This window comes from Homo sapiens, chromosome 9, assembly GCF_000001405.40.
Source record: "Homo sapiens chromosome 9, GRCh38.p14 Primary Assembly".
Lineage (NCBI taxonomy): Eukaryota > Metazoa > Chordata > Mammalia > Primates > Hominidae > Homo > Homo sapiens.
In genome coordinates, this window is record NC_000009.12 from 84798549 (window position 1) to 84816160 (window position 17612).

The 17612-nt window shown below is 40.7% G+C and overlaps 1 protein-coding gene across 38 annotated transcripts in view; it reads left to right on the forward strand.

Moving 5' to 3' along the window:
• The window catches only part of NTRK2 (neurotrophic receptor tyrosine kinase 2), a 358533-nt gene that overhangs the window by 130027 nt on the left and 210894 nt on the right, over positions 1–17612 (forward strand). For 17 of the 38 annotated variants that reach the window (XM_017014760.3, NM_001369544.1, NM_001291937.2 and 14 more), the window contains one exon: positions 11994–17154. The exons of the other annotated variants lie outside the window; for them this stretch is intronic. In XM_017014760.3, the coding sequence (XP_016870249.1) occupies positions 11994–12031 (38 nt within the window). In that variant the 3' untranslated portion in view covers positions 12032–17154. Of the gene's footprint in view, positions 1–11993; positions 17155–17612 lie in introns of those variants that run through there. 38 annotated transcript variants of the gene reach the window in all.

Sequence of the window (17612 nt, forward strand, 5' to 3'; positions counted from 1 at the left end):
TCAGAAACTTACCTTCCTTATGTCCTAAGTGAAAGGGTGATATTGACTGAAGAAAATGGGCTATAGGGTCTCCAAATTTCCTTTCTTCACAAAAGTTCCCGGATACAGTGATAAGACAGCCTATTTCTTATCTGACACAGATGATTATTTTTATTTACAATCTCAACCTGAATTGTCTTTTCCGTTTGGTGCGTATGTTGACCAGTGTGTCCTAACAAAGTAGATCTGTTTCATTCATTTGCAACTCTTTGTGAACATAAAGCATTTGCCACTTCAAGGACAAAAGCTGAGACCTAGGTCTGCAGATAATGGAAACAGCTGATATTTACTGAACACCTGCTATATGCCAGACACTTCTAAGTGCTATATATATATATATATATATATATATATGCTTATTTAATCTGCACATCAGCCCCAAATTAACTATTATCATTAGCTCCATTTTATAGGCAAGAAAACTGAGGCAACTTGCCCAAGGTCACACAGTCATTTGGGTATTCCACCTTCAGGGCCCATTCTTTCAACCACTCTTCTTTCTGCCTCTCAGTGGGTCAGGCTTTAGCACAGTGGCTGTTCTCCATCTTCACATCAATCAAGGGGAAAAACAGGTATGAGAGATGCAGGTTGGCATTCCTAGAAATTATGACACTTGAAAATTAGAACAAGACTTTCATTCACCAAAGATCTACTCTGTGCCTTCAAGATCATGCTTCAAGGCTCCTTTTCTCAGCCTGCTGTTCTCCTAAGTCAGATAAAAAAAAAATTAGGATGATAGTGGCAATGCAGGTTGGAAACTGGGTCATTTTTCTGAAATCATCTTTCTTTGCCAATGCCATTTTTGAATTCTTTCTGAGAATTAAAAAACAAACAAGCAAACAACCGATGTGGAACAATCTGTGGCAGATGGTTATTTCAGCTCTAGGTGAGTTTTTGTCATTATATTCTGGGAAGTGGAAATTATTACTTTAGATAATCATCTGTTATTTTAGTGAACTGCCAGCTAGGAACTATTGTAGCTATACGGGTTTAGGATGGGGATTTTTTTTTTTTCCTAGAGATTAGGACATAAATTATTTTCATTTGAATTCTGTGGAATTTTTGATGTTCAGCATGGGAGGGCATTTTCACTATAGTTCCTTGCTATGAGAATGATCTCTGGCATAGAAGAATTGGTATTCCGTGCCATTCTACTGAATATAAACAAGAAATCTAACAGTTCAGTTGGGGGTGGGAGAGGTGAGATGAAATTAGGCTTAAAGAACAAGTTAGCCCACTTTTCAAGGTTTAGCTTCCCCTGGAAAATACAGCAATAAACATCTAAACCATGATATTCATTACCAACGCAAGTCCCTAATTAATTTATTTTATGTTAATTAAGTTTATAATTATATAGTAAAACATTTACTTTCTCCCTCAAGAAATTGACTGAATCTTCTGAAGGGGCTTTGTGACTGTAATTTAGGTGCAATTAGCCAGTTAAATTTAGTTAGGGTTTGGTTCATTTAGCTGCTGCCGGAAGATGGAAACAGGCACTGTCTCAGAAGCAAGCCTGGATAGAGAGGATGTGTTCCTGGAGGCACTCCTCTCGCCTTTGGACAGCTAGTTCTGTTGTCTAGAACAACTGGAAGCCGAAGCTCTATCAAGATATAGTTTCTTTCTTTTTTTTTTTGAGATGGAGTCTCGCTCTGTCGCCCAGGCTGGAGTGCAATGGCATGATTTAGGCCCACTGCAACCTGTGCCTCCTGGGTTCAAGTGATTCTTCCGGCCTCAGTCTCCGGAGTAGCTGGGATTACAGGCACCTGCCATCACACCAGCTAATTTTGTATTTTTGTAGAGATGGGGTTTTACCATGTTGGCCAGGCTGGTCTTGAACTCCTGACCTCAGGTGATCTGCCTGCCTCGGCCTCCCAAAGTGCTGGGATTACAGATGTGGGCCACCGTGCCTGGCCAAGATGTAGTTTTATAATTACCACCTATGTGTATATTCCTCAGTCGAGGAATGCAGAGTCAATTCCACAATAAAGGATAGAGGCAAACCCCTTTTGCAAAACATTTCCTTGTGGTCCCAGAATTGGAACTAAAGCCATGGAACAGTTCTCAGACCCTTTCTACCATGGGTGTGAAATCACTGGCATTTGCCAGCATTCAGACACAGAGTGATATCAGCAGCCAGGACCCACCATTTGGCTGGAAGGACATCTTACCTCCCGAGAGGGGTCAAGAGGGCACGAGCCCACCCTGTAGGTCTCTCAAGCTGGGGTTCTGGGGCCTTCCTCCAGGAACCTAAAGACTTCTTTCAGTTTGGGCCACCCTTTTCCAGGAGGAAATTGGAATTTTGGGGCCACTCTTTCAGTTTGGGCCACCCTTTTCCATGGGGAATTGGAATTTTTGAGCAAAGTTCCTTTCCATGACTTTTTGCTTCATAACTCATGACAAAGAATGTGTTTTGGCCCATGATTTACAATGCAATTGATGTGATCATTTGCAGTGGCTGCTGAGCTACTGCAGGCAGGGTTGGTGTTCACTGCTCGTGCCTGCGAATGGAAAGCTGGAAGGCACTAAGGTACTCACATTAGTTCTGGTTATCAGAACCTGTTAGATTTTTTTTCATCTCTATTGTAAAGTTGGATAACTGAGGTTCAGAGAGGTCCCCTCACTTGGCCAGCATCACATAGCTCAGGAGGGAAAGGGATAGGATCCAAACGGGTGTTTCTGGTTGTAGACTGCTTCTTGCTGCCTAACCAGCGGCAGGTGGGTTTCTTTCAGGCATCACTGTAGAAATGAATCCTTTAGCACGAAATGCGTGGAATGACTGTACTTTTTAAAATTCAAATTCCAGTGGTACTAGTTAGTACAGACAGTCCCTGACTTAGGATGGTTCAACTTAGAATTTTTTAACTTTATGATCATGCAGTGGTGATGAGCATTCAGTAGAAAGTGGTTCGGTATTCTCCTGTGACGCTGAGCAGGGGCAGCAAGCCACATCTCTCAGTCAGCCACAGGATTCAGAGGGTAAACAACTGAGACCCTACAAGGTTTTGTGTTGCCGGGTGATTTTGCCCGGTTGTAGGCAAATATAAGTGTCTGAGCAGTTTTAAGGCAGGCCAGGCTATGCTATGATGTTTGGTAGGCTAGGTGTATTAAATACATTTTCAACGTACTATATTTTCAGCTCATGATGGGTTTATTAGGACATAATCCCATCATCAATTAAAGAGCTTCTGTTTAGTTCTGGGATCTTGGACAGTTAAATGATGGATGGTAAATGGCCATAATTGTGATGAATGAAAGGAAAATTAATATATAATCCAGTCATTCCTGCTATACCCATGTAATTACACTGTGTCTTTTCATCTATATGACATTTTAAATTTTTTACTGCTTTCGCAGAAGGAAATGCATTTGTCCATCACATGTTTTTCAAGGCCTCTTGTTCTTTAAGGAGATGATGATTCCTTTTTTAAGCTAAGAATTTGCATCAGGTTATGAAGTAGATCGCCTTTTCCTTTTAATCACTTTGACTTAGCCAACAACTTCCTGTAAGTTTTGGAAAACATCTCTTAAAATAATGTCAGATGTTTTGGGTACATTAAATTTTTATTTTAAAAAATCTAAAATGCATTTTTTTTCCAGTGTCTTAGGTCTGGTTGATTTTTAGCATGGTCACCATAATTTCTAACCAAGCTGTTATATTTGGAATGCCTTAGCTGGCCCTCCATACTTTAAAAAGAAAAATAAACTGCGAAATCTGGTGTGTGTATATAGAAATTTATGCCCTTTACAATCCAGGGTTTTCCTCATATATAAATTCCACTTGAACCAAAGAATTATGAAGGGACTTCCTGCGCTCCAACATGAAGGAGTCGAGGAGAAGAGAGAATCCTTCAGAAAGAGGTGTTGCTGTGTAAAACCACTGAGGTTGGCACACGCCCCGCTGCTGTAAGACATTGTTGAGCATTAGGAAAGACAGTGAGGTGGGATGACTTAGCAGCATGGGCTTATTCCAAAATGAGCTCTTTGAGCAAATAAAAATGTCCCTGACAGCAGAGGCTTCTAGAACTGTGGGTTAATTTAACTCAAGTGAGGGGTTCTGTTGGCTGCCTCAGTCGGAACATATATAAGGCTGTGACCCTGGGATTGGCTTTGCACTTTTCAAGTTTCCTATTGAGAATCTGCTTTCAGATAGAGTAAGCTCTCTGTTTTAATGGGGCTTTTTGAAATGGGTCACCTGCTAAGCTTAAGGAGTGTGCATAGTGATCTGCCGTTGACAGTATCCTGAGGGTGCCACCAGATGTGGAAAAGCTTTAGGAGCGTGGATTCTGTGCTCGTGACGTGAATGAGTGGGTTCTCTTGAAGACTGATGAACAATTCAGGGATCTGCCCTTATAAACCTTGCTGGGATAAGACACGATCACTGGGGTTTAAGTTGGGTATGCCTCCCAGGATCTGATCTATGACTTTCAATTTCTCTTACAGAGAAATGTCAATTAATGCCCCAGGTGGACTGACAAAGGGCAGGATGATCACCATTTCAACCTAAGCTTCCCCAGATACCAACAGAGTGCCAAATGAGTCTGTGCCCACCCTGCTGTGGAGGAGAGGCACATTTTAATTCTCACTGTAGCTAGGTAATGTCTGAGATGATGGAAGTTCTACTAATGGTTGCTCCTGGGAACAGGCACTAGAGAAAAAGGGGATGTCTGGGTAAAGAACCTTCTTTCTTCCTCATAATCCTCCTCTGTTTTCAAGTTTGGGCACATCCATTTCTTTGGTAAAAAGCTGAAGCCAGAGAAGTGTCTTTGAAGCCTGGAAGCTCCCTGCTCTGTGGCCACCCTCCCCATCAGGGGTCACACATCTGCCTGCAGCAGCGTCAGAAGCAGATATGCGGCCCTACCTTGGTCTGGGAGCAGGAGCTGGAGCAGTGGGCTGTTAATGTCCTCACTTGTGGGGGTGGGCAGTGAGGAGGAGGCAATAAGGCAGCAGCACATGGGGAGAGGGATACCCTCCGTGGGTCTGGGGATGACCACTTGAACTAGGTTCCTTGAAAAGCCACAGTTCAGTCCTCTGAATGAGGACTTCAGCAGTTTCACCTTGTGGGCTCCAGATCATAGGATGTTGGCCTACCTTCCAAGAAGTCCCTGGCCAAACGGAACCCAGGCCTTGCATTTTATCCCACTCTCAGGCAGAGTTGGGTAATTCATGTTTTTTGTAGTCAGTTCATGGGGATTATTAGCCCCACATATGTATGTTTCGCATTCCGGAATACTTGCTGCTTAGCTGAGGTTTCATTATCTTTTGCTCTTAGCTAATTTAAATGGAGATGGGATTTATCAGGTACCTGTATTCAAGTGAGGGTAATTTGTTTGACCCTCTTCTAGCTTAATTGGTACTGCTGGTGGATTTGACTTTTGGGACTTGCAGCAATAGGCAGAGACATCGGCCACACATAAGCCCCCCTGATTGTTGCTATCTTAACACGAATCCTAAATGTTAAAGAGCTCCAAACTCTATTTCTGAAGTATTGCTTGGGATGCCTGATGAAAAAGTGTTGCTTCATGACAAATTTTATTTTCACCTACACTCTTTCTTCTAGGGTCAGCTTAAACTTGGACCTGGATTTATCTTCCTGTTTTGGAGGCTTATTATCTCTATTTTTACTCTTCAATAATTGTGTTCAGTCTCTGAACATGCTTGAGGGGTCTGAGGCGCATCAATACCAACCACTTTAAAAAAAAATTTCTCCTCCTCCTCTTCCTCTTTCTATCTCTTGATTTTCATCTCCCCCACAATCATTATCGTCATCCTCACACAGGCACTGGCTGACCTATGTGTACTTCTTTTATGTGTTTTGTTGTACATTATTTACTTTGTACAAATTGATTCCCAGATCCACTTTGGTCAATGGCCTACAGTTTCAGCCAAAATTGGGCAGAGCCAAGCAACTCACATTGTGTATATCTGAGGTTCTTGCAGATTTTATATAGTTATAGGTTGAATTGGGTAATGGATTTATATCATTAACCTCTTGTTTGGACTCTGTAAGTTTCAGCACTCTGGCTTCATATACTATAAAGAACTGGCTAGAGTATTTTGACGAAAATAAATTGAGGCACAAGATCTATGGTGGCAGCAGCAACTGCATACTCTTCTGTGATGACATATATTGCTTATCTGTACTGACTATTTGAATCACTGATAAGCCCCTCTAGACTTAGAATTGTGGAATGACATCTTTAAGAAAATGTCATTTCACTCTACAGATATCGACCCTATAGATTTTTCAATATATGTTTATTGAAGCAAGACAGAAAGGCTAGACACACCCCAGGAGAACAATAGATTAATTTGGGTGTCTCCATGTGGTAGTAGTAAAGCCTTTTGAGCATCTGAGTACCTCTCAAACCACAAATTCTTCTTTCTTTTTCTCTACTCCACTTAAAGCAATTTTAGGTGATTCTGTGGATGGGGCAATGGTATCAGTCTTTGGATGCATTCCCCATCCTCTGTGAAGTCTCTGAAATGGTAGTTGTTGAGTCCTCGGACACTTGTCATCAGAGCCTGCTGATTAGAGCACATTCCCCTTAGAATTGTTGAGTTTTAACTGTGCAATAACTTTGGCTTTCCTTACAAATTCCAGCTTTGCCAAGTGTGCTTTCTACTTTCATTTTCAGCTCATAATGAAACTTCATTTTGCAACATCAGACCAGAGCTTTTCCTTTAAAAGCCTTCCTGACCATCTCAGTAATTTTAGTTTTTCACCTCCAGCTAATAAATGGACCACGTTTTTTTCCCTTTGTCCCGCATACACTACTGTAATTTTGATCAAAGTGAGAATTAGAATAAACCAAGTCTAGCACCTTTTCCCCAGTAGATTAAAATGCTCCAGGAAGTACTCACTGTGTGTCCACGTGTCTAACTCTGCAGCCTTCACTATACTTCTGAGAAAAATGTGATTTCGTACTGGAAGCTTTGGAATGCCTGGACTCACCCAGTTGCCAATGAGAAGCAGTAGATCCTGCATTGTGTTGCATCCTTCATTCTCCTTCAATTCAGTTGGGTTGTTGAGTACACTGAAGTTTGCTATGGTTTGAATGTTTGTCCCCTCTGAAACTCATGTTGAAACTTAACCCCCAATGTGGCAGTATAGAGAGTTGAGGCCTTTAAGAAATAATTGGGTCATGAGGCCTCTGCCCTCATGAATAGATGGGTTCATTCATGGCTCAGTGGATTAATGGATTGTCACAGGAGTGGGACTGGTGGCTTTATACAAAGAGTAAGAGACAGCTGTACTAGCACACTCAGCCTCCTGGGCATGTCATGCCCTGTACTGCCTTTGAACTCTGCAAAGATTTCCCACCAGCAAGAAGGCCCTCACAAGATACAGCCCCTTGACCTTGGACTTGTCAGCCTCCATAACTGTAAGAAATAAATTCCTTTTCTTTATAAATTACCCAGTTTCAGATATTCTGTTATAAGCAACAGAAAACAGACTAAGACAAATAAAACTCAACATTTAGACCTTACTATTGTGAAACCAAAAATGCCTTCAGCTCTTGGTATTTGTGTGAGGCCATGTTGAGCATAGAAAATGTATAGATGTGCTCCCTCTGTCCTCCTGTGGGATGAAGTCTGAGATGGAGGGAAATCAAAATAAAATAAACACAAGTTTTAAAAGGTACAAAAGAAGGTCCATGAGTGGAAGTGAATGCTTCAGAAGTTTAGAGGAGGGTGAAGTAGGTACTTGCAGGAGAAGGCTTTTGCACTGGATCTTGAAGAATAGTCTGAGCGTCTCAAAGGAGAGCTCATTTGGTGGGAGGAGATCCAGGAGAAGGGATAATATGTGGACAAAGTAAATCCTTGGGAAGCAAAAGGGGTGTTTTAGGGATGTTTAAGCAACTTCTGGATTGAGCACAGAGAAGAAAGGACCAGGACCAAGACCAGGACCTAAATTTATATATGGGGAGATTTCTGCTACAGGTGCAGATGATACCTTTGCCAAAGAGGGACTGACAATTCCGAGGCTCTGAGTTTAGATTTCAGCTCTCTCATTCATTCTTGGGTGACCTTGGACAATTCATATTCACCATGTGAGTTGAGCCAGTTATCTATAAAATAGAAAAAGCGACAACAGCAAGGGATAGTTGGTGCAGCAACCAACAGATATAAAGTGCTCCACAAATATCAAATTAAGACAATAGGTGTTTAAGCCCAGATGCTGAACAAAGCACAACTGTACCTTGCTCACATCTCACTTTGTGATGGAAAGTTTTTGAACCCACTGTATTCTAGACACACGATGTTATGAGAACATAGGAGTTTATTATTTCATTTTACCTAGTAAACATTTTCCAGAAGACTTAAAAGGCATTTGTTTTGCTTTCCAATGAAGGTGAGCTGCTACCTTGGTGCCCCATCCACCAGATCATCTCCAATGGCACCATGCCACGCAGATGCTCAAGTTGGCAGTTTTCTGCTTGAACTCTCCCAATGACAAATGTGATAAGATTTGCTTTTTTAGATAGCAGCTGCATCTTTCTTCCGTTCCCTTCACTTCCTTTGGGCTCAGCAGTTTTCCTTTTTGCTCCAGATAAATTGCTGTTAATTTAAATGTACTGCAGATCCTTGCCATTTTATGGCTGATTGCTTCTGAGTAATAGGAGGAAAATGTGTGCATGCTTGAATGTAAATAAATTTAAATGGGTTGTGAGCCAATGATAAAAAAGCAGAGCACTTCGCTGACCTTCAACTCCCTTCCCTTCCCAGTCTTTCCCTTTGAAAAGGTCAATGAGTAGATCCTAAATCAGCAAATAGCAGAGGTTGAGTTTCAGGCCACATCCAGTTTCTTCCTTCTCTGTTTTCAACTTTACATCCCATTTCTCAGATAGCACCTGCTTTATCCTTGTTCCTATATAGCTCAGCTAGTGCGTGCAATGGTGGCAAAGTTTCTCTAAAGTTGTTTTTGATAAAGGAGCTGGTCTCACGGTAACTACCATGCACCATCGGAATGCTACAAATGCTTCAGAATGTCACATTGTCAAAATATCTATATTTCAGGCTCATAAGCTAGACAGCTCGTTTGGCTGCTAAACCCACAAGATGTTCAGCCATTTGTTGTGGTCTAAAAACTTTCCCCCTCACAAGGAGAAAATAATCTTCTATTGTTTTGTATCATTTTGTGGTCTTTTGAGTTTTTTATAATATGAGAGGGCAAAAGTTATGAGATCCTGATAGGTAAATCGTGGCCTGGATTGAATTTTGCTATCAGTCTCTCTTGAAATCAAATTAATTTTTCAATATGTAGTGAAATATCTTTAGTCTGTCCACAGTATGGGAAGATCAAGGGTATGAAAGAGTAGGGTGACTTGCCTTCTTTGAGGTGAAGGGGGTGGAAGTGATAGTTTGAATGCATATTGCTTACAATTGCAACAGGCTGGCTTTTCCTCAGAAGAAAAATGCCGTATGTGTTTTTATGGCGGCTTCACTTGTTTTTATTGCATGGGCGTGTGGAGCTGAGATCTACTTCTTTGGGAAGGATGGATCACAAAAGGCAAGCACAAGAAGGTTGCAGAGGGACACTTGACATCAATTGAAATAAGGGCCAGGGCAGTTGCATCCTGAGTGGATGGCAATGGTCCAGTAGAACCGTCATCTGGCAAAGTTAGCTGTGTTTCCAACTGTAATAATTAGTGAGCCTGGAGGGGCTTGTGGCAGGAAAATAGCAGATAGAAACAAAGAAAGAGAAGCCTGGTTAAGTTCCTGCTGTAAACATGCTGGGATTAGTAAACTCTTGGAGTTCCTGTGCCATAAACCCATTGGAAATAAGCCTTTATACCAGCAGGTTAATCGTGTTATTGAGTCAACAAATCTTTTTATTCTGGGGTCATGCTGTCTCTATCACTAAGTTTCTCCTGTTTTTATTGACAAAGTTGACATCCTTATATTAATACTCATATTGTTTCAGTGGGAAAGAATTTGAGCTCCACCCTCTTAAAAGCTAAGAAGTTTGATTTGTTAATTTGGCATGCTCATTTTACATGCCATAGTGCACTGTTAAACTAGCTCAGCTTCTGTTTGCCTGGAGGCAAAACTTTTAGAAGGAGACTGGAGACAGATATGAAGGAGAATTAATCAGTGCTACTGAGTACTTCCTAAATTCTTAGGGCTTTTGTGGGTGATTAAATCCATAAATGATGTTTGGCATCTGTACTGAGTTCTTTTGGAAGGGCAGGAGGGAGAAATGCCATGGAAATTAAGCTCCATAGACTCTTTTAGCATTGTTGTAAATGATGACACAGATTGGTGGTGGTACTTACGGTTCTGGAGGCAGATGACACTAGCACTTGGCAGACCAGACACCAGGTGGAGGAAGATGGAGAGTCTACATGGTTGGGCTTAGAGGCGTCTTCCAAAGTTGAACTTGAAAATGTCTCGGAGATTTCTATTACCACATGGTCTATTTTGCCACTTATGGATCTAATAAAGATTCATGCAAATTAAACACAGTATTATGTATACTAGAACCTTCACTGATCCACTGGGTTTCCATGGGCAAGTTCAGTGAAAGCTCACTGTCTTCTTCTTGCAGAACTTATCTCATAGGGTTATTGTAAAAATAAAAAAGAATAGTTTGGGTGCAATGCTAAGTAGAGAACCTGGTGCAAAGTAGATTCACTGTCATTTATTGAGCAAATTATTTACTCATCTTTCTCCTTCTATGGGCCAATGAAGTATTTGAGGTCAAGGAACTGTGTTTTCTTTATTTTTGTAACATTTATCACAGCGTCTACTGTTTGGTTGGTGCTTAACAAATGTAGGATTACTTAATGTTAGATATTATACATCATATTATTTATATATTATTATATATAATATATACATATACTATATGTCTTATAGATATAATATATACATATACAATGTACTGCATGTTGTATGCTATATAAGTTATATAATGAATACTACATCTCCATATGTGTCATATATTTGCTATAATACTTAAAGTTAAGCAACTAATTAATTATTTTATATTAGGATTCTTAGAAAAGAATAGCTGGGCTTGGTGGCTCACGCCTGTAATCCCAGCACTTTGGGAGGCCGAGGTGGGTAGATTGCTTGAGGTCAGGAGTTTCAGACCAGCCTGGGCAACATGGTGAAACCCTGCCGCTACTAAAAATACAAAAATTAGCCGCGCGTGGTGGCACATGCCTATAATCCCAGCTACTTGGGAGGCTGAGGCAAGAGAATTGCTTGAACCTGGGAGGCAGAGGTTGCAGTGAGCCGAGATCTCACCACTGCACTCTGGCCTGGGCAACAGAGCAATACTCTGTCTGGAAAAAAAAAAAAAAAAAAAAGAAAGAAGAGAGAAGAATCTAACTATTTGTATTGTCTAGTATTTCACCAGTTAAAGTTAGCCAGTTCTCTGGGCCAGTTGCTGAGTAACTAATCAGTTCTTTTAGAAAAGATTTGCTAAAATTAGCTGGGGAAAGAAAATCAGGATTTGGGTAGATAGGTATTGTTGAAACTAATTCCCCCCACCCATAAAGACAAATATTAGGTTGGTGCAAAAGTAATCATGGTTTTTGCCATTGAAAGTAGTGGCATTACTTTTGCATGAACCTATATATAAAAATTCTTCAAGGGTCATTTGTATTGTACACAGATGTTTCCTCCTTAAAGTAAGCTGCTAACAGCTGACACAGTTGTGGATGGAGCTGTATGCAGAAATCCTTCGCATTTCTTTTCCTTGTTTCATGTACCATGTAAAATCAGTTTTAAGTTTAAAACTAAGTTGCTCAATAATGAGATGCCCATTTCCCCCAACTTCTGTTCTGTTATTATATATTGCTCTATGGTTTAAAGTGTATTCCATGTTGTGTCTCATTTTTGATGTTTATTTATTATGTTCATTTGAAAGTTATTGTACTTGTATGTTAATTTTCATTGATTTTTCTTTTGAGCATGACTTATGTTTTATTTTGTGTTTCTTTTAGGTTTTGTTTTGTTTCATAAGATCCCACTGGATGGGTAGCTGAAATAAAGGAAAAGACAGAGAAAGGGGCTGTGGTGCTTGTTGGTTGATGCTGCCATGTAAGCTGGACTCCTGGGACTGCTGTTGGCTTATCCCGGGAAGTGCTGCTTATCTGGGGTTTTCTGGTAGATGTGGGCGGTGTTTGGAGGCTGTACTATATGAAGCCTGCATATACTGTGAGCTGTGATTGGGGAACACCAATGCAGAGGTAACTCTCAGGCAGCTAAGCAGCACCTCAAGAAAACATGTTAAATTAATGCTTCTCTTCTTACAGTAGTTCAAATACAAAACTGAAATGAAATCCCATTGGATTGTACTTCTCTTCTGAAAAGTGTGCTTTTTGACCCTACTGGACATTTATTGACTTAATTGCTTCTGTTTATTAAAATTGACCTGCAAAGTTAAAAAAAAATTAAAGTTGAGAACAGGTATAAGTGCACACTGAATAGTCTAATCTACATGTAACACATATTTTAGTGTGATTTTCTATACTCTAATCAGCACTGAATTCAGAGGGTTTGACTTTTTCATCTATAACACAGTGACTAAAAGAGTTAAGGGTATATATACCATCACTTTGGGACTTGGTAGTATTATTAAAAGGTTATTTCCTTCACTGTCAATAAAAGTCCAAATGTTTAGCTTAGGTCTGAGAGTCAAACAATGTTAAGGATTGTCTTAAAGTTCCTTAGCCAGCAAAACAAAACAAAACAAAACAAACAAATGAAAAACGTTTAAAAAGAAGAAGAAGAAAAAAAACAAGAACAAGCAGCAACAGCTGTTTTGTTGGGGCTATAGATTTAAGTTAGGCATAGTCAATTTCAGAATAACTAAGAGTGGAATATATGCATATGGTGAAATTATAACCTTGCCCTTTTTTATTTGCCCTCTGCGATCCACCTGCTTTTTAGAAGTCTGCCGAGTGAGAAGGCCACAGTATCTCATGCTGTTTGCATTACAGAACTGCAGCTTTTCTACTCTGAAAAGGCCTGGGAGCAGAATGGCTGGCCTGCTGTGAGCAGGAGAGGAGATTCTAAGAAGGATAGTCCCCCCTACAACATACTGTCATACTGCTGGGTTTTCATGGGTAGGAAAGCTTGTCCTGACCCCAGCAGCAAAGAGGTGGCAGGTCGCTAATGAATATATGCTTTATAATGTCCTTCTTCATTGCTGAGAGGGCAGCCTTAGAGCTGTGGATTTCTGCATCCCCCCTGAGTCTGACCCATGGACACCTGTTTCATTCACTTTAGCATCACAGTGACCTTTGTATGCTCTGTTCAGTCTGTGTCAGGCAGTATGCTTGTCCTGAAGAGAGGTTTGGCTATCCCCACCCCACCCCACCCCACCCTGTTCCTTTTTTATCAGGAGGACTTCAGAGCCAGGCCTGCAGCATTTTGTTTGAAAACACAATCAGCTCTGACAGTTAGACATGCACACAGACGCCATAGCTGGATTGGAAACATTGATGTTTTAAAAATTTATTTTTTTTGGAAATAGTTGCACAAATGCTGCAATTTAGCTTTAAGGTTCTATAGATTTTTAACTAGTCCAACACAGTCAGAAACATTGTTTTGAATCCTCTGTAAACCAAGGCATTAATCTTAATAAACCAGGATCCATTTAGGTACCACTTGATATAAAAAGGATATCCATAATGAATATTTTATACTGCATCCTTTACATTAGCCACTAAATACGTTATTGCTTGATGAAGACCTTTCACAGAATCCTATGGATTGCAGCATTTCACTTGGCTACTTCATACCCATGCCTTAAAGAGGGGCAGTTTCTCAAAAGCAGAAACATGCCGCCAGTTCTCAAGTTTTCCTCCTAACTCCATTTGAATGTAAGGGCAGCTGGCCCCCAATGTGGGGAGGTCCGAACATTTTCTGAATTCCCATTTTCTTGTTCGCGGCTAAATGACAGTTTCTGTCATTACTTAGATTCCGATCTTTCCCAAAGGTGTTGATTTACAAAGAGGCCAGCTAATAGCAGAAATCATGACCCTGAAAGAGAGATGAAATTCAAGCTGTGAGCCAGGCAGGAGCTCAGTATGGCAAAGGTTCTTGAGAATCAGCCATTTGGTACAAAAAAGATTTTTAAAGCTTTTATGTTATACCATGGAGCCATAGAAAGGCTATGGATTGTTTAAGAACTATTTTAAAGTGTTCCAGACCCAAAAAGGAAAAATAAAAAAAAAGGAATATTTGTACCCAACAGCTAGAAGGATTGCAAGGTAGATTTTTGTTTTAAAATGGAGAGAAGTGGACAGATAAGGCCATTTAATATATCAAAGATCAGTTGACATCTCCTAGGGAATGATGAAAACAGCAGGCTATTAGAAAATTATTTCATATAGTTCTCGTGTTCTTTTCTTTTTTTTAATCCCTGAAGGGATGATCAGTAACATAGCTTCTCTTTTCTGTACTCTAGACCACCCCTTTTCATCATTTTGCTTTTTATGTCTCCCATAAGAAATGTGCTTTTTAGAGCTTCCTAATGCATGTGTTGCATTATTGCAGCATTAGAAAAGGAGAGGTAGCATTTTTGCTGAAATCGGGCCTGTCACTCTCCAATAAAGGTTCTGGCACTTCAATGCCAGGCAGGTCTCCTAAATGAACAGAATGATCTGTGTGAGCCGATGCCTGCCCTTCCAGAGGGGCCACTGTCCCCAGCCGCAGCCAACTGTGTCCCACAGGAATGGGAGCCTAGGTTTCCAAATCTTGTGATTCTTTAGGAGAAACATGAAACCTGGATTTCGTGTGAAATGTCCCGATTGTTAAAAAGTTGGCTCAATTATTTTTAAAACATTTTGTAAGCCAACAAAAGTCTGTGGGCTGCCAGTTTATTACTTTTGTCTTAAAACATGATCATTGTTCTCTCACGGTATCCTTCTGTCTTCCCGTTGCAAATTCACTTTTCTTTCTTCCTGACATTGCCATTGAGGGCTTTGTTACCACAAGCTAAGAAACTGAGTTTAACAGCCCAGTTATCTGCAACATGTCAATTACCTTTGCTCCTCTCCTGTGATTCCCACCATGCTGTGACCCTCAGCTGTCTCCCTTTGCTGGGAATTCTGCACCAATGTCTCCCCTCAACCCATTCCCTGGTTGGTCCTACTCCCGTGTGGCCAGAGACATCCTAGCAAATCCTTCCTCCTATTATATCTGACACTAATTTCTTTTCAACAGCGCTCATGTCTCTTGGCCCAGTCAGGTGCTGCCAGGTTTAGATAGGAAAGTACATGTCCCATTTTCATGGGTGCCCTTAATGTGGTCCACGTCCTATATCTTATTATATTTACTCATGGCTCAATGGGGGCCTCCAGAGACCCTCTCAGGCTGCTGAGCTAGACTAAGGAATGCATCCACCGTCATCACATGAGACACTGACTCTGTGACGACAAAAGTACAAACAGTCTGAGGCTAAGAAAGGTTCATCTCACAACAGGAAAAACAAATCTCAACACACATTAGAGATAATTGATTCAGGGGTTTTCTCTCCCAGTCTCCCAGCAGGGACTGATTTCATTTCTGACCCACTAGGTTTTCTTTCCAGAAATAGGTAGCAAGGACAAGAACTAAACAATCCCAGCCCCACCCAGCAACACAGAACACAGGAGTTTGCTTTTGGCTTCTCACTCTCCAAGTAACCCTGAATTAGGCCCAGAATGGCTGAGGCTTGGAGCATCTCCTCAGACAGAGCAGAGGCGACACCTCTTCAGGGGTGTGTGGAGTAAATAGCTCGAAGAGCTGAAGACAGAAAACCAGTTTCACGCCAGGTGCGAGAGAGAGCATAATGGAGGGAAGCCCGCTTTCTCTCTCCTCTTCTTTTCTCTTTATTTCTTTAGAGCACTTGACTTTTTTTTCTCTCTCTCTCTAGTATTCTAAACTGACCCCATGACCAACTGAGAATTTATTTTTGTTTCATTGGTTGTTTCACAGAATTAGAACACACACGACTTTTTATTCCTCCATTGCAAAATGGAATCAAGATACTACACAAGACCTGTGCTTTCTTCCTTTGCATGATTTACACCTCCGCCTGTTTTGGTGCTAGCTGTCTAGAACTTCTCTCTTGGTTTGAATCTGATTCCTTCACACTACACTAGAAGTTTATTTCATCTTGTTTTGTCTAGACTCCAGATACAGAGGGACAGCTGGACTGAGGACAAGCAATTCCATCTAGCATAGGGTCTCTCAGGGTTGGTGCATCCAGCCACATGGGCAGGGCCAGTCACATCTAGTCTATGTCCCCAGAGCCCTTGGAGTTGCGCAGCTTAGCTGACTTGACTCCAAGGAAATTAGTACAGAAGTAACCACTCTATTAAGTGTGTTCTGCTATGTTCACATGCCTGTAGTACCTGCAAACCATGCCAGGTTCATCTAAAGACATAGGGGAAGATTAAGGACTCTTTTGGACAGACCATGAATTGAATTTGCTGCCAGGTGCTGCCAGACTGAATTTGGCTGACAGAACTCCCAGCCCAGGAAAGTTCCATGACAATGACTGTCGCAGAAGGAAATTTCCCACTAAAGTCAGTCCATTTTCAAGTTTTGGTCTTCAGAGACAAAAGAACGTCCCAGCCACCTGATTTTGATGGTGAGGTAACTCTAAGTTGAATTCAGGCTAGTGTTGCAGTATAGCTTTGGCATGTTCATGAGTGAGCACCCAGAATGTGTTGAACCAACCCCCACCCCTAACTACTGACTATGACTGCAGTGGGTTTTTATGGGGAAAAAAAGTGTGAAAAGCAAAAAGAAAGGAACAGAGATTTTTTATCACCTTTATTGTAAGACAGTCCATTTATGAATTGAGTATAAACACATACAAAGTAACAAGAGATTCCTAAGAAACGCAAATCCTTGAGTTTCACGCACTTCATGTTCAACCATTTGCTGTAATCCAGAGGCAGCCTGTGAATCATTCTCATGCCCTGTTTTTTTTTTTTTTTTCCTATAATGTTCTGGGTTTAAAAGCCATCTTTTCCACATTTTCTGTAAATAATGGATAATCATTTTAAAAATTTTTATTTTTAGTGCTGTTTTAACAATGTAGATAGATCATAAATGTACTTGCTGAATTCAATCATTTTTAACAAGCCAATAAAGTTTGATAATTCATCTCCATGTGTCTTGCATTCTCTGTAGATCTTGTGTACTTCCTCACACTTCCTCAAGTGTGTGCTGTCACCTGAGTGCCCTTGGTTGTGTTCAGAACTGAAGACTTTAGAAGAAACAGTGTGAGAAATGTCACGGAGAGTTTCAGGGGAGTACCAGGCCCATTTCAGATTCTGTGATAAATTATCCCCCCAAAAAGGTCTTTTAAAATTCCTGTCAGTATGAATTGTCCATTCATTGTTTACTGATTCTTGCATCAGAAATATTTTATTTGGCTAAAAGGCAATCCTTAAAAAAAAAAAAAAAAACTTATGCGAATTTTTTTTAAAAACCCTAAATTCTATGGCAAAGCCCTTTGGTATTTTAAAAATTTGAAATGACCCAGGTCACAATAAGAGAGTATACTCAATGCTCTGTTTCTCTATTCTAAATGACTTTGTGGACATATAAACATAATGACT